Consider the following 18,273-nt stretch of genomic DNA (forward strand, 5'->3'; position numbering starts at 1 on the left):
CACCTCGTCCGGGAGGGAGGTGGGGTCAGCCCCCCACCCGGCCAGCCTCCCGTCCGGGAGGGAGGTTGGGGGTCAGCCCCCCGCCCGGCCAGCCGCCCTGTCCAGGAGGTGAGGGCGCCTCTGCCCGGCCGCCCCTACTGGGAAGTGAGGAGCCCCTCTGCCCGGCCACCACCCCGTCTGGGAGGTGTACCCAACAGCTCATTGAGAACGGGCCATGATGACAATGGCGGTTTTGTGGAATAGAAAGGGGGGAAGGGTGGGGAAAAGATTGAGAAATCGGATGGTTGCCTTGTCTGTGTGGAAAGAGGTAGACATGGGAGACTTTTCATTTTGTTCTGTACTAAGAAAAATTCTTCTGCCTTGGGATCCTGTTGATCTGTGACCTTACCCCCAACCCTGTGCTGTCTGAAACATGTGCTGTATCCACTCAGGGTTGAATGGATTAAGGGCAGTGCAAGATGTGCTTTGTTAAACAGATGCTTGAAGGCAGCATGCTCCTTAAGAGTCATCACCACTCCCTAATCTCAAGTACCCAGGGACACAAACACTGCGGAAGGCCGCAGGGTCCTCTGCCTAGGAAAACCAGAGACCTTTGTTCACTTGTTTATCTGCTGACCTTCCCTCCGCTATTGTCCTGTGACCCTGCCAAATCCCCCTCTGCGAGAAACACCCAAGAATGATCAATTAAAAAAAAAAAAAAAGAAAACGTTCAGCAAAAGCACAAGTGGAGAGTGAACTTTGCACTTAGGAGACCATTCATTCACTCAACAAGTGATTACTGGGCACTTCCTGATATGGTTTGGATTTGTGTTGCTGCCAAATCTCATGCAAATTGGAGGAGGGTACTGGTGGGGTGTGATTGGATCATGGGGTCAGTTCACCCCTTGCTGTTCTCAGGACAGTGAGTGAGTTTTCATGAGATCTGATGATCTAAAAGTGTGTGGCACTACCCTCTTCTCCCTCTCTCCTGCCACCATGGGAAGAAGGCGCTTGCTTCCCCTTTTTCTTCTGCCATGATTGTAAGTTTCCTGAGCCCTCCAAGTCATGCTTCCTGTACAGCCTGTGGAACTGTGAGTCAATTAAACCTCTTTTCTTCATTAATTACCCAGTCTCAGGTAGTTCTTTATAGCAGTGTCAGAACAGGCTAATACACCTCCTATACATAGGAACTGTCCTTGGCTCCTTGGAACTTTCTATCTGGCAAAGGAGATTCACGTTAATCAAATATTAAACACATTTAGACATAGAAGAAATTCTTTTAACTGCTACTTAACAGTTTGAGAGATTAAACGACACTCCGCCTTCATTCTGTAAACTTCCTGACGGATGCTCACAGCCACTGAGCACTCTGCCAAGACCCCCACTCCTGTTCCTCTTCCCTGCTTTCCAAGACTCAGTTGTGTTTACTCCCAAGCCCGTCAATGCCAGTTGTATAATTTATTGTAATTAAATAGTTTAGATACATGTTACGCAAATTATATATGAGTGTGAAAAGAGTTGTTTCCATGAAAACTATATGAATGCTACAGAAAGACGCAATCAAGACAAGCGACTAAAAGAGGCCATTAAACTCAATGTGGGCGAAGCAACTGTAAAAGACTCAGGAGACAAATACAAACTAGAAAGGATTCTGCCTTCAAAGTGACACTCAAATGTCTTTTAGTTCTCTTTTAAAAAACTGGAAACTGTAGATACTGCATTTTGAGTGTGATAGATACAAGAAAGATGATGGAAGACTTTAGTCAGTGAACATCAAACAGAAAGTAAGGGAATGGGGCTGGGCGTGGTGGCTCACGCCTATAATCCCAGCACTTTGGGAGGCTGAGGTGGGCCTATCACTTGAGGTCAGGAGTTTGAGACCAGACTGGCCAATATGATGGAACCCCATCTCTACTAAAAATAAAAAAATTAGCCAGGCGTGGTGGTGGTGGTGTGTACCTGTAATCCCAGCTACTCGGGAGGCTGAGGCCCGAGAATTGCTTGAACCCAGACGGCAGAAGTTGCAGTGAGCTGAGATCACACCACTGCACTCCACCCTGGGTGACAGGGCGAGGCTCCATTTCAAAAAAAAAGAAGAGAAAAAGAAAGTAAAGGACTAGGTCTACATCATAAGATTGAAAAATAGATGTATATTTATGTTCTGACTTAAAATAAAACATTTAAATGTATGTTTTATCCACCCTCTCCCCTCCCAATCTACTGCTTTAAAAGACGTGATTAACCAACTGCCAGTCTTAGACTATTCAGATAAAAGTTTTTCCTCTGAACATAGTGTTTATCATACATGTCCCTGAGGTTCAACTGGTCATGATTTTTCTTTGGTCACTCCATCCAAAGAACAAACTTTCAGTGACTGGGGGAAATTTGCCTGCTGATTCAGAAGTAACAAGTGACAAAATAAGAATTAGTGAAGAGTTTAAGCACATGCTCATTTAAGCCTTTTGAAATATTTCTTAAAATGTTTACCATATGCACTGTTAAACACGCATCATCTATTTGGAACTTGATGCAATTTAGGAAAGAGTTTGTAGAACTCTATGAGCTTCTGAATCTCTCACAAGGACAAACATCTGATTGATAAACTTTTCTAATCCTTTCTGGAATCAGGCAGGGAGTACTCTATGCTGCTGTGTCAACAATCACAATTATTGAAATCACCGTTATCTCTAAAAATGTTGTAAATATTTCATGATGAAAGGTATAAATGAAAACAAACAATTTGTCAATTTTTTATTAATATCTCCTAAAGATCTGCCAGAAACATTCATATCATGCTGATTACCGCAAGCAATTATGTAATCACAGTTGCAATACTTGCTACAAAAGAAAAGTACCTTGTGTAAAGAATCCCTAACAGGGGGGCCCATGCTGGTCAGGGTGTTCCCAAAAGGCTTCCTTGATGAGATACTGTTCAGTTGTGGCTTGAAGGATGAGTAGAGTCAGCCAGGCCCATGTGGAGAGAAGCAGGGGGTTGGAGAAGGGCACTCAGGTGAAAGGAATAGCATGTGCTAAGGTCCTGAGGCGGGAAGAAACTGACTCTTTAAACAAACTGAATAACCTGAGTCCAAGTGGACTGGAGAAGAAGGCAGACATGGTGCAGGGGATGTGAGGAACACAATGATAGAAGAGAAGGAAGATGAGTGGTTATAAGAGCCTGAGTCAGGGAGCAGGAATGGAGGATGAGAAAGCAGAACCCGCTCTCTTAGTTTACATACGACATAGCCATGTTCCCTTCCCACTCCTCGAGACACAGTGAAAAGAAGCTGAAGTCAGATGAACTATGTCCTCTCTTCTGTCATAAAAGAATTCATTTCAGCCCCATTTCCTGGACTTTCAAGGTAATTGTGTTCTATGCCAAGTATGGCCACTCTGCAGTCAGACTATTCCTGCAGTTTCCACATTGTAATGCAGCTCTCCCACCTCCCACCTACACGAAGGAAGCCATTCTTCTCAGCTACTTCAGAGACTATCTCAGTGCTACGCAGCTCCTTGCCTTCCCTAAAACACTCCCCCACTTCACTGCTCCCCACTCGGCTCCTTGCCCCCGCCGCTTCCTGGCCCTCCTACCACTCCACCAAAAAAAAATTACCCAGGCCTCAAGCCAGGAAAAGTTGTTAAACCCTGTCCTCTGCAACTTCACAGCACATTTGCTTTAATACCAAAAGAGGATTCATCTTGGCCAATGAGAGACAAATGAATATGCAGTGATTCGCCACATGCTATAAAGCCTTGCCAACAATTCCCACTGCTATGTTCTCCTCTGTTTTTATAATCAATTAAAAAGGTTTGGTTCATTAGGAACATTTTTTTCCCCTCCTGAAAATGGAAAGAAAAAGCAAGCAGCTCTCAGAAGAGGCACAAAGCTCTTCTGAGAACTGTCTAGCAGACAGAGCTTCTTACAGTAACACTTTATTTTAATGCTTCTTTAATGCAGAATTGACAACGGGACTCCCACTGAAGCCCTCACAGGAGCCTCATTCACCCTAAATAAGAATGACGATGTTGCCAAAGATAGGTCACAACTAAGATATCAACCTCAAAGCCTACCCCAAAGGAGGGAGAGTGGAAAGAGTTCTCCTTCCTTTTGTTTGCAGGATAAATCCTCTCTTTATTCTTGCACCCTCTAATCTAAGTCTCCATTTCCTTATTTAGATGAGCATCCTTTATGCATTTAGGGAATTATTCCTCAGCAGAGACACCATAGGTATCAGCTTTCTCAGAGTTGGATTGTTCTTCCCAGAAACCAAAGGGAGCCTCACTGGTTTGAATGCTCGCTTGTGGGTGAGCCCGGGAGATGTGGAAGGCATCTCATGACTAAGCAGCATGACATCGTTCACATAAGTACTCAACATCCACTCATCACCAGCAGCAGATTGAAGGTAATGTTTTAAGAGGTTTTCAAGCTGCTGGGAAATTGTGGGTTTGAGAAATGTTCTTTAAACCTTTTGCATTTCAAATTTCATTTCAGCCAAGATGTTGAAATGTAACTAGAGGAAGGGACGAAGGACTGATAGTTCACGCATTCCTTGCAGCTGCTCTTCACTCCTCTCACTACTGGGCCCTTCCAAAGGGCCTCCAGTCTGTTACAGTGCTAAAGCCCCACCCTGGTGTGGGAGTGGGAAGAAGTCACAAGGGGCAGAAAGAGCTGACGTTAGGAACAGTCCGGCAGAGAGTCTGCTGTGGTGTGGCTGGGGGTTGGTGCCAGGCTGCTTGGTAGCGAAAGCCAAAAGCAAATGTGGATAATGTTAACGCTGTTTTCTTAAGCAAGAAAAGTGTCAGGAGTCACAGCCGAGCAGGGAGCACAGAGAGCAACGCTGAGGCGCTCTGCTGGCTTGCTCTCTGGGAATTGATGCCGAACCACGTTCGTTCATACCTGACGTTACATAGGCAGGGCTGGTATCCAGATCATGAGAATACTAGGAAATAAGAAGGTATTATTATCAAGCGTAACCAGGCTGGAATTTGAGAAAGTTGCAAGGTAAACAATGTTCATCTAGCCCAAATCAACAGATAGGTGGGGTAAAGTCAAGCTACTAAAGGAAAAAGGCATATTAAAGTAGTCATCCCATAGGGACAGGGTAGTGCATCATCATGGTTAAGGTCATGGAACATGAAATCACACAGAGCAGTGGTCACAAGTCTTCCTCCATTATTTTTTATTCTGTGGGACCATCAATGACTGGAGCCAATGGTAGCATCTAGCTCATAAGTTTGCTTATATTAAATAAGATAAACCAGGAAAAATACTTAACCCAGCATTTATTAGAGAGTACTTTAAAAAGTGACACGCACCTGTAATCCCAGCATTAAAGGCAACCAGATCTCACCCCCTGCCAAATGCACAGTTCACCACCACCACCACCACCCCAAAATGCACAGGTTCCATAGGCTTCTAGTCTCACATGGTTGGGATACTCTGAATATATCTCTTACCATTCCCATGAGCCTGTATGATTATTACATAGATTCCTTATTCTCTGACTTCATTGATTTTTCCGTTTGATTTATCATCCTCCAAATCCTTCTCAGGCTAGCTGTCACTTGACATTAGATGTTGATTGGAGAGAACGTGGCTGCTCTAGATAAACTGGTATTACCCTGGGACAAGCAATAAAGCCATCTGGAATGACTGATGGATCGTCTGAGTGTGAGTCTAGTCAAATATGCAGAGTTCTAAGATAGGACAGAAAGGAAATACACCAGATCCAGTCTTATCCTGCCTCTGATTAAGCAGTATAAAGGGAAAGGTCTGTAATTGATGGATAAATATGACCCCTCTTTTTAGAAAAGAAGGAAGAAATGGGGAAACAGTCTCCAACACTCACTGGCATTGCAATTCTGTTCCAGGAGTATCGCTATAGAGCCTAGGAGAAATAGCAATGTACCACACAAGTCTGCTTTTCCCACATGCAAAATTACTAAAATAAAAGTCACACTCTTTAATACCAACCTAAGAGAAGTGTCAATTATAAAAATGAAGTATTTAGTAACTGCATAATTATTTAACACATTTCTCCAAATAACTCAAGTTGTTTATAAACAGGGTAAAAAACACCAGAGAGAATATTTTACTTAAATAAACCCAAGTGTTTTACTGCTAACTTTTAACTCACTTCTCAGATTTTACCTAGCAGTGTCTAGAATAAATCAATACTACGTGTCTTCATGGGCCTTATAGAATCCTTTATTAAAGTCCTAACCAGTTTGTCATTTGGATTTCCCACTCCATGGTAAGAGTATTTAAATCTCCTTTGATCAGCCATTTTAGAAATGGTTACCCATCATTCTATTGGCACATCATTCTATATTCTCTAAAGAGCGAGTTAAAAAGGAAGGCAGAGAGGGAAAGAATGAGACCAAATGCCAGAACTTAACCTGAAGCTCCAGCTGATTGAGATATGTGGAACAATCGTTACCACTCACCCACCAGATACCTCAATTGTCCCCATGGAGAAGTGAATAAGGGATGGAGTATGCCTGGACTGTGACTCTAGGGAAGTTTCTCTTCATGGAATTATGAGGAGCTGAGGATCCACATCAAACTCATCCCTATAAACTAAGCCCTAGATGATCTGAAGCCATTTACCTCTCTGACTTGATATCTTCCTACTCCCTCCTTTGCAGCCTCTCAACACTCTACCACAATAGACAGAACTTGTGCAGTGACTCTCCTCACCCATTCTCCTCTCCAGGTCACATATGTCTTCCCCTCTACTCAGAGAATCGTATTTCTTCCCCTTACCTGGGTAATTCCTGCTCATCCTTCCAATCTCAGCTTAGACCTCACTCCTCCAAGATTCTTCCCTGTCCTACCAATTAAGTGGCATAATATGACCTTCATATGTGATACTCTGCCAAAGTATACCTTCCCCATCTTAGTATTCATCATCAACTTATTAGCTGAGACTCTTTGGTTGCAAGATACGAAAGTCAGCTTGAGGGAATGTAAGCAAAATATACCAGTATGGTGTTATCTTACATAGTGCAAGGGGCAGGATTGACATCGGGCCTTAGGAAAGAACTAGAACCAGGAATTGAAAGTTGATAGGATTCTCTCTCCCTCACATTTTTGCTAACTTCTGCATATCTACTTCCTTCCTGCCAGTCTGTGGGCTAGCTTTCTCTGCTTCCCTAGCCATATGGAAAAACATGGCAGGCCACAGATCTAGCCATATGTGGAAAATGAAATGTTCTCGAATGACATTCCCAAATTTCTGCCATAATCTTACCGGCTTCAGTTAAATTAGGCATCTAATGGAGGGCCCACTTTAGAGAAAAGTGTAATAACTAATGGATGAGTTGTTATTCAAGAAGATGTACAGCACAATCCTGTTTGTAATTGCCTACTTGTCTGTATCTTTCACCATCAGTAAGCTTTCTAAAAGTAGGTCAGTCTAACATATCTATCTTATTCACCATTGCATCCTCATGAAATTGTGCCAGACTCATAAAACTGCTCAATTTGTGATATAAAAGAAAGAGATGCATGTATAGTTCCCTTGATATCAGTGACTTCTTCCTAACTCCTAAATTCACTCCCATGCCTCTTTCTTTCTTTCACACACACACACACGTGCACACACACACACACACACTCACTCACACACACTACTCCTACTTTACCAACTACTTTAGTTGGTGATCTACTATATCCCTTCTATATTTTAATCACTGTAAAATCTTTCTTTATCTTTCACAAAGAGTCCCAGGGACTTTGCACTTTATAAGTCTCTCCACCTAGACTAACAAGAAATATAAATTATTTATTTCTTATTATGTTGCAGGCACAGCGAAAGGCATGTTACATACTTTGTGTTTAATCTTTATAGCACTCAATATTTTCACCAGTAAAGCTCAGAAATATCTGAATAACTTGTTCAAGGTCACAACTAATAAATAACCCTGGTTCATCTGAGTGTAAAACCTGTTATCTTCCTACTTTCTAATCTCTCCACTCATGCAATCTACTAGGCTGTATACTCCTCAAATTCAATAAGCATAGCTAAATTTATTTCTATATCCTCAGAGTCTAGCATATTTCATATTTCATGTAAACATATTAAGGATGCTTAATAAATATTTGCTGTGGAATGAGTACATGAATAAATGAATGAGTAGATGTTCTCCACCTGGGGAAAAAGGATGCATTCACCACAGTAAAGTTTTTTTTTTTTCCCTCTGAACAACTTTGTAGACTTTATGTGTTAATAAAATACTCAATTCAAATAAAAACAATTATGTATTGGTTCCATAAAGATCATATGGATGGAGAACTGGAGAACTAGCTTCTATCATATAAAACTTCTCTTTAAGAAAACCGTAAAAGCTGCATATGATAAAAAAACAAAATAAAATCATACAGCAGCTATTTCAGGCTTTGAATAAACAACCAAGGTAACTAAGAGTTAGGCAGCAGAGGCAGAAAAGAAAGACAGTCTCAGGGAAGGTGGGCTAACACAGTGTGCAGCTACTGCCCTTTCAGCATTTGATAAATCCCAAGATTTGTGAAGCAAGAGGCTAATAAACGAAGCCAAACGTAGCTACTAAGAGACTAAATGTTAAGTAGAGTTTTCAGCTCTCCTACAGAGCTGAGGAGACAAAAATTGGCATTCAGGGCCTGCCAAGGACAAGGGGCCCTGGTTAACACTCCAGGTTTATCATTGAAATTCCTGAATATCAGCACCCAAGGACTCAGGAAAAACTGAAAATAAACCAACTTCCTGCAAGAAATACAATCAATTAATTAACCAATTAATTAAATACTCTCTACAAAAATATAAATTGTCCAAGCCTTTAAAAATTAAATGTGAAGCCTAGAACTAAAATATACAACTGAAACTACGATGGGTATGTTCATTAGCTTGATATAATCATTGCACAATGTAGACATATATCAAAGCATTATATCATATACCATAAATATATATAATTTTATTGTCAATAATAAATTAATAAAGCTGAAATTTTAATTAGATTACATTTTTAATGAAATTAATAACTCAGTAAATGGGCTATTATTAATAGCAGATTAAACACAACAGAGGAGAGAATTCGTAAACTGGGAGATAGTTCAGTACAAAATATCTAGATCGAAACATAGAGAAAAAGATTTGATGGAAAACACCAAAAAGAATGTAAGAGACATACAGACCGAGGAGAAAACGTCTAGCACACATGTAGTTGGAGTCCCAAGAGAAGAGAAAAGAGAAAATGGGTGTAATCAGTATTTAGAAATATTGACCAAAAATATTTTAAAACTGATAAGTCATCACACTACAGACTCACGAATCTCTACAAACCCCAAATAGGTTAAATACAAAGGAAACTACAACTAGGTGTATTGTAGTAAACCTGCTGAAACTAAAAACAAAGAATATTTCCAAAGTCCCAAATTAATAGAATTATAAAGAAAACAGGCAAATCCACAGTTATAGTTGGAGGGGTTTTGTTTGTTTTTTGGAGTTTTTTTTCCAGTGTTTTTTTTTCAATTTTTTTTTATTTTTTATTTCTTCCTAAAAAAACGGGATACATGTGCAGAACGTGCAGGTTTGTTACCTAGGTATACGTGTGCCATGGTGGTTTGCTGCACCTATTGACCCATCCTCTAAGTTTCCTCCCCTCACCCCCACCCCCCAACAGGTACTGGTATGTGTTGTTCCCCTCTCTGTGTCCATGTGTTCTCAGTGTTCAACTCCCACGACTCCCACTTATGAGTGAGAACAAGCGGAGTTTGGTTTTCTGTTCCTGTGTTAGTTTGCTGAGGATGATGGCTTCCAGCTTCATCCATGTCCCAGCAAAGGACATAATCTCATTCCTTTTTATGGCTGTATAGTATTCCATCGTGTATATGTACTACATTTTCTTTATCCAGCCTATCAGGGATGGGCATTTGGGCTGGTTCCATGTCTTTGATATAGTAAATAGTGCTGCAATAAACATACGTGCACATGTGTCTTCATTGTAGAATAATTTATATTCCTTTGGGTATATACCCAGTAATGGGATTGCTGGGTCAAATTGTATTTCTGGCTCTAGATCCTTGAGGAATCACCATACTGTCTTCCACAATGGAGGTTTTAAACATACCTCACTCAGTAACTAAAAGTTACTCTTAGAGTAACTGATAAAAGAGAGAACTAACAAATAAAAATGCTATGACATATAAAAGATTTGGCCAGCTCACTTAAGAATTTGACTGCAAAGAACAACTGTAGAATATACATTTTCAAATGCACATATATTATTTACTCAAACTGACCATATTAGAGGACTTAGAGTAAGTCTCAACATATTTCAATGTACTGGATACATATACAGCAAGGAAAAAAATTGTTAGCCCAATATCATTAAGGTAGAAAACAATATAAAAGAGCTAATTTAAGAACTGCCAAACTATTTGAAAATTTTAAAATATGCTTTTAAATAACCAACAGGCCAAAGAAGAAATCAAATGTAAACTAGAGAATATTTTAATATGAATAATGAATACACAACCTATGTAAATTTGTAGGTGAAGGAAAAGCAATTCTTAGAAAATGATAGTTTAAATACATACACATACTGCATACACAATATATGAAATATTCACATGTAATAAACTTATATGTATGTGAAAACAATGATTTAAGGTTCCCACTCAAGGAAAAGAACATGAACATAACAGATTCTCAAAGTAAATAAAGGGAAGGAGGATAAGAGCAGAAGTCAATAAAATAGAAAGCAAACATACAATAGAACAAAACAGAGGAGGTTTCTTTCAAAACTGTTAATAAAACTGATAAATCACTAGCAATATAGAACAAGAAAAAATAAAAAGAGACAGAAGGCACAAATAACACCAGGACATAAAAGAGAACACCGCTACAGTTTCTGCAGGAATTAAAAAAACAGAAAGAGAGTACTGTTACCCACTTCATGCCAAAAATTTGACATCTTAGATGTCAAAGTGTAAATATGCAGTGAAAACTTTTGTTTACTTAATGAAACTGACACAAAAAAATTAAAAATCTGAATAGCCCATATTAATTAAGGAAGCTTATTTTATAATGTAAATTCTATACATAAAGTATATTACAGGCCTTGATGGCTTCATTGGTGAAACCTTCTACATAGTTGAAGAACAAATATTAAACAAACTCTTTCAGAGAATATAAAAAGATTAACAAATAAGGCCGGGCATGGTGGCTCACACCTGTAATCCCAGAACTTTGGGAGGTCGAAGCAGGCAGACTGCTTGAGACCAGGAGTTTGAGACCAGCCTGGCCAACATGGGTGAAACCTCAACTCTACTAAAAATACAAAAATTAGCCAGGTGTGGTGGTGCATGCCTGTAATCCCAGCTACTTGGGAGGCTGAGACACAAGAATTGCTTGAACCCAGGAGGCATACGTTGCAGTGAGCAGAGATCATACCACTGCATTCCAGGCTGGGTGACAGAACTGAGAGTCTGTCTCTAAATAAATAAATAAATAAATAAATAAAAAATAAACAAATAAAAAATCTTACAATTTATTCTATGAGGTAGGAATAACCTTAATACAAAAACCTGATAAGGACATTATGAGAAAGAAAAATCCAAATTTGGACACAGCAATTTTAAGCAAATATTAATCAATTGTACACAGCAAAAATATAATATGAATAACACAACATTAGTAAGTGGGATTTATTCCAGAGAAAGAAGAGGAGGATAAGTTAACGTTAAAAAAAAATCAATTCACTATATTAGCAAGATAAACAAGAAAGCCTCTCAATAGATGCAGAAAAGTGTTTCATACAATTTAATATAAGTTCATAGTAAAAAAAAACTTTTAGACAAGTGTACAAATTTTTAATCTAAAAAAGAATATTTACCTAAAAAACAAAAGCTTATGGTAAAACATTAAGCCCTCCCCTTGTCACTCCCAAGATCAAGAAGGAAACAAGAATGCCTGCAGTCACTTTTATTCAACATTGTAATGAGTGTTTTCGCTAATGCAATAAAAAAAGAAAAGAAGTATAAAGATCTGAAATAAAACAGTAAGAGGTCTATTATTTGCAGATAACATAAATACATACATAGAAAAATCATAAAGAATCTAATTAACTTCATGTATCTTTAGTAAATTTGTTGCATACAAGATCAACATCAAAATTAAGTTCATTTCTGTACACTAGAAGCAAGTAACTAGAAAATGAAAACGTACAAATAAAACTTATAATGCTATCAAAAATACCTATATAGGAATAAATCAAACATATCCTATGAAAACAGTCTAAATAGAAATCACAAAACATTATTGAGATACTTAAAGAGTCTCCACATTAATGAAGGGTCATCTATACCCATGAATTGGAGAACTCAATGGTAACATGGTAAGATGTCAGTTTTTCCACATTGATGTATGGATTCAATCGATCTCGTTAAAAATTCCAACAGTATGTTTGTCTAACTTGATAGTCTGATTATAAAATATGTATGAAAATACTAGAATAGCCAAGACAATCATGGGTTAAAAGGAAAAAAAATAGAAAAATTAATCACTAGATAGCTAAAATTATCATAAAGCTAAGTAATTAAAAGAGCACCATATTAAGGCAAGGATATACAAATAGATTAATGGAACAAAGCAGAAAGTAAAGGAAAAGACCACATGATTTATGACAAAGTTGACAGTGCAGTGCAGTGTAGAAAGGATGGTCTTCTTAATAAATAATGCTAAATTTAATGGATGTCTACATATTTTTTAAATAAATCATAATCCCTCAGATACATTAGAAACAAAAACCAACTGCAGGTAGATTGTAAACCTAAAATGTGAAAACTAAAACAATAAAATTTTCTGGAAGAAAATATTGACAACAATTTTTATGGCCTTTGGGAAAAAACAAAGATTTAATAAACATTCAAAAGAGCTCTAAAAAAGGAGATAATAATTGATAAATCATCCTATATTAAAATTAAGAACATCTATATATCAAAATCATTATTAAGAGGGTATTAAAGCATCATACAGAGTAGGGAAAGATACTCTGGATTCATAGCCAGAATACATAAAGAACTCCCGCAAATCAAGAAGCAAAATATAGACAGATAAATAGAAAAATAGTCACATATAAATAGACATTTCACATAAAAGAATAGACAAATGACCAATAAACATATTAAAACATGTTCAATATTATTAGACCTCAGAGAAACTAAATGGCTAGAAATGTTAAAACCAACAACACCAAGTGTAAGAAAGTATAGGGAGCAAGTGGAAATTTCATATCGTATTGGTGATAATGTAGACTGGTAAAATCATTTAGTTAAACTCTGACAAGATCTACTAAAGCTGACATACACATAACCTGTAACCAATTATTTCACACTGATATGCATGCAAATGTGCACCTACATACATGTACAAGAATGTTTATTGCAGTACTTTCCAGAGTGCCCCAAGACTGGAAATAAAGTGCTCATCAACAGTAGAACAGGGCATGACGGCTCACACCTGTAATCTCAACACTTTGAGAGCCTGAGGCAGGAGGATCCCTTGAGCCCAGGAGTTTGAGACCAACCTGGGAAACATAGGAAGACTCCGTCTTTACAAATTTTTTTTATATTTAGCCAGGTGTGGTGGCTCACACCTATAATCCCAGCTACTTGGGAGGCTGAGTTGGGAGAATAGCTTGAGCCCAGGAGGTCAAAGCTGCAGTGGGCCGTGATCACTCCACTGCACTCCAGCCTAGGGAACAGAATGTCTCAAAAAAAAAAAAAAAGGAGAACAGATAAAGAAGTTATGTTACAATTGCATAATGTGTATCTTTTCATATCCTCTGGTAAGCAAATGATGGAAAGAGTTAAGGGTACAAGAGATTTATTGAGAGTAATGCCTGTGAAATAAATGGGGCAGGAGAGGGCAGGGTAAGGCTTCAAACTGCAAAGCAGGTCTGACATTTGTGAAAGAGAGGGGGAAGAAAGGAGGATTGGGTAGAGAGGAGCCTCAGATGATGATGTAGCTCTGACAACGTCTCAGCCAGTTCAAAGGGGAGCCCCAGTGCAAATATGTCCATGGAGGAGTGCCACATCGAGCAGAAATACTCAAGACCTTCGTATCCCAGTCATTGGCTGGATGCTGCCCACAGACAGTATGTCCACAACTTGCTGCTGCTTCAGTGGATCCCAAAACGCTGTAGCTAGGGGCTGTCAGCCCACTCTTCCAGGTTGACCTTTGCATCTCTCTGTCTGACATGGAATGGAACACCATAAAACCAACACAAATAGAAAAACTGTGACAACATACAACAATGTGGAAAGATCTTACACCCATAATCATGAGCAAAGGAACAAGGCAGGAAAGAGCGCTTACTGCATGATTCCATTTATACAGAGTTCAAAAAACAGTAAAAACTAATTTATGGAGTTAGACATCAGAATAGTGATTAATTTTGACCAGGGCCTACTGAATGGGAAGGGTACTAGGTGGGCTCCTGTGATCTAAACATAATAGTCTGGGTGGCAGTTACACATATGTTCACTTTTTAAATAATTTATTGAGCTATATAACAAACTATATGTCCTTATATACACATATATGTATGTATGTCTCACTTCAATCAAAAACAAGTGGCTTTAGAAAATTAATATAGCCAGATAAAGGTATTAACAGGAATAGAAGCCATAGTAAACCTAGCGTACAAAAGCCAAGAAAATAATGCCTTCATGGACAGTAATGAAATCAGAAGAGAATAAAATACATTTATTTTGATGTAGAAGATTCAAATAATTCTACCAAAATATTTCTATGATGATTAAACCTCCAATATTAATGGAAAACAGGCGACATGCTGCTGTTTTATTTATTTTCATAAACAACTCTTTGATGGTTTAATAGCTAATTATATCTTTATCCTGAAAAAGCTTGTGCAGGCTATTAGCTTAATACAGCACTTCTCAACTTTTTCCAGGCTGACATAAGTGAAAACCTAGGAAAAACTACCATTATCCTGCTCCCTTTCATTGAATTTGCATTCTCCATTGCATAATAATTAATGTCTGTATTACTTAAATATCATCTTTATAAAGTGCTTCCCCACACAGGACATGCTGTTTCCTTTTTCCTTTGCCTAGTCCGTATCTATGTAAAGTCTCAAAATGATAACAGAATGGGGAGAGAACTGGGAAAATGTATAGACCACAGAACTGCAGTTACAGGAAGCATCTTGGAACTAATTGGAACACTTATTCAATCGACAAATAAATATTAGAACCTGCTATGTGCTAGGCAGTGCTTTAGCAGGTTTCATTTGCATAATTACACATAGGGTAGATAGAAATTCACACGAATGGAACCGCAGTGTAGTAATGGAAAGAGAACAGGACTGAGATGCAGCTGAACTGAGTTCTGTCATGCCTCTGCTACTAATTAGATACCTATGATATTGAGCAAGTGATAAAACATTCTGGCCCACAGGTTCCCAAATTGTGAACTGAGGAGGAGGAACCAAATGATCTTTAAGATTCATTCTGGCAATTTTGCATTCTAGATTTGGATCCCACTGATCAGCCTTGTGACCTCCTTGAGCAAATTACCTCCTTTTTTGTTTAACTTTTCTCATTTAATGAAATGGCAGTAGAAGAAGCTTTTGGTATTTTCCCACTTCCTTTATCAGGAATCCAATCAACCCCTTCCCTGAAGAAGTCAAGAGACTGTCCCCCCATCTCAGCTCTAGGCATGTTGCCTAATTAATTTAAGCCATGACATTAATAGCATTATTCCCCTCTCCAAGGTTTGCTTTAGACATGGGTACCTGATGAAATGCAGGTCAACAAGACAGGGGATGTCTGCTGGGAGGCACATAATGAATAATGGTCTTTTCTCCTCTTGGCTTTCTGATATCTGAGAATGATGACTGGAACTGCTGTAGTCATCTTGGAACCCCACGGGAATCCAGCCTGAGGTAAGAGCAAAGCTAGCACAGTGTGGAAAACAGTAGGGTGCTTGGTGCTAAGTACCTCTTGGTACAAAGGGTGCTGAGTATTTGGTAACATTCCTGAGCCAAAGATTGTACTGTGCCATGAGCCTTCCCTACCTCTCAACCATAACTATCTACTGGCTACTGAGGAAACTGAGCAATTATTCACTCAACAAATATTTCATAATCTGTTTGTTCTGGACATTGAAAGAAGCTAGAAAAAAATGCAAGAAATGGTCACTTTATTCAAAAACTCAAAATGCATATGCAATAATAAGGAGTGATTACTAGAATTAATTAACAAAGAAAGGCCAGTATCCCTGAAAGGAGTATTTTAGGCAATATGCAGTCTACCAGTTGAGAAAATGTGGAGATTGTTATGGATTGGAAGGATTACTATACCAGCTGGGAGGAAACAGACCACCAGAGGGACGATAACTCTCCAATACAGCTTCAGATGCCTTAGGCCTGAGACACTGGCCTCCTTCCTATCATCTCTGTTGAACGTACAGGCAGTTACTGGCTTAAATCAAGGGTGAACCTCCAGTTGGTAGGACGGTGGGACTACGTGGCCAAGAGGACTTATGTCTGGGTGGAAAAATGTTCAAAGCCAAAGAGAATGTAACAGGTCAGTTTGAGATGGAGGATTTTTTTCCTCCAGTAGTCATCATCTGGTTTATCATGGGACAAAACCAGGCAAACATTTAAAAATCAGAGGTTCTCCAATCAGCAATCAGATAAGTGAGCCACAGTAAATCTACAGAGCTGTCCAAACAGAGAGATGTGGCTTCTTTCCAAACAAGTTTATCTGTTGATTTTATGTGAATCCAAAGGCTTTCAGGCCAGGACTAGGAGCTGGAGCATGAAAACGATCAGACCAATAGATTTCTTGTGATCAGAAGTGTCTCAGGGCCACAGAGATTATATAAGAAAGAGACTAGTCAATTCCTCAGAGATACACCTATCATCACTAAAGTTTTACTTTCTCTTCGGAAAAATAAATGGATGTTTCTGTCTTATCTTTGCCTCTTTATGATAATGTGGAACTTAACTGGTTTATGCCTTTTTGAAATAAATGACACTACAGTAAATACTGAAAACACGTAAGGAAATATCTGGCTTACCAGACTCTTTCATTTTGATCTCAAAGTCATAAAAGACAGAAGCTTCCATGTATTTATGGGCACCAGGTTACCTCCAAGTCACAGTCTTTTCCACAGTTAAGAAAATGACTTGCTTCGATGAATGCTCATATACAATTTGTATAATTTTGGAGAGAAATAAAATTAATGTAGTCATAGAAATATAAACTATTTGATTTCAATGAAAACAAAGCTCTTTAATCTATAGCTATTTTAATCACCAGGCATTCAACAAATAGTTTTAAATGTTATTCCCAGGAACATTGTTTCCCAGTGTGGTACATGAGCCCTGGGGAGGCAAGATAATTTTAGGAGATATGCTGATAAATACTTTTTATCTTATTGGTTATATATTTATTTTACTGTGTGTGTCCATAAAGAAAAAGACATGGCCAAGCACGGTGGCTCAATCCTCTAATCCCAGAACTTTGGGAGTCCGAGGCGAGCACATCACTTGAGGCCAGGAGTTTGAGACCAGCCTGGCCAACATGGCAAAACCTTGTCTCTGCTAAAAACACAATAAATTAGCTGGGCATGGTGGTGCCTGCCTGTAATCCTAGCTACTCAGGGGGCTGAGGCATGAGAATCTCTTGAGTCTGGGAGACAGAGGTTGTAGTGAGTCAAGATGGCACCACTGCACTCCAGCCAGGGCAACAGAACAAGACTTTGTCTAAAAATAAATAAATAAATAAAAGAAAAAGACATATACAAATACAAACACACACACTCTTAGCACATCAAATCCATGATATATACTTTTCACAAATGTATTTAAACTTTAAAAGTGAGTTGATTTAAAGAAACATGTTATATAAATGTGGTAGGCAGAATTCTCAAATAGCCCCAAAGATACCCACCCCCGGTACATAAATGTCCTCCCTTGAGTATGGGAGGAAACTGAATATAATGGAATAGTCACTGCCATGATTAAATTATGTCATGTAAAACAATGTCATAGTAGATTAGGGGGACTTGCTGTCAGTTGACAGCTAGCAAGAAAGCAGAATCCTCAGTCCTACAACTGTAAAAAACCGAATTCTTTCAACAACGTAAATGAGCTTAGAAGAGAACAACTGCCTCCAGATGAGACACTGACATCTTGTGACTCCTTGATTTCAGCTTTGTGAGACTCTGAGCAAAGAATCCAGCTAAGCTGAGCTAAGTTTGTAGTAATTTGTCATACAGCAAT

The 18,273-nt window shown here is 38.8% G+C and overlaps 1 long non-coding RNA gene across 1 annotated transcript in view, besides 1 other annotated feature; it reads right to left on the reverse strand.

The window, feature by feature from the left end:
• Nucleotides 3,806-5,005: an enhancer, noted in NCBI's record as "CDK7 strongly-dependent group 2 enhancer chr2:222760870-222762069 (GRCh37/hg19 assembly coordinates)". NCBI's record gives its function as "activates an origin of replication core promoter dependent on BRD2, BRD4, P300/CBP, MED14 and CDK7 cofactors, with strong dependence on CDK7, by STARR-seq in HCT116 cells {active_cell/tissue: HCT116}" and the evidence as "EXISTENCE:reporter gene assay evidence [ECO:0000049][PMID:35650434]".
• LOC105373900 (uncharacterized) overlaps nucleotides 13,828-18,273 on the reverse strand; it is a 54,688-nt gene continuing 50,242 nt past the window's right edge. Inside the window, exons 2-3 of the long non-coding RNA XR_923944.3 lie at nucleotides 15,778-15,922; nucleotides 13,828-14,212 (exon numbers count right to left, since the gene is read on the reverse strand). This is a non-coding gene — a long non-coding RNA (uncharacterized LOC105373900). The remainder of the gene's footprint in view (nucleotides 14,213-15,777; nucleotides 15,923-18,273) is intronic.

This window comes from Homo sapiens, chromosome 2, assembly GCF_000001405.40.
Source record: "Homo sapiens chromosome 2, GRCh38.p14 Primary Assembly".
Classification (NCBI taxonomy): Eukaryota; Metazoa; Chordata; class Mammalia; order Primates; family Hominidae; genus Homo; species Homo sapiens.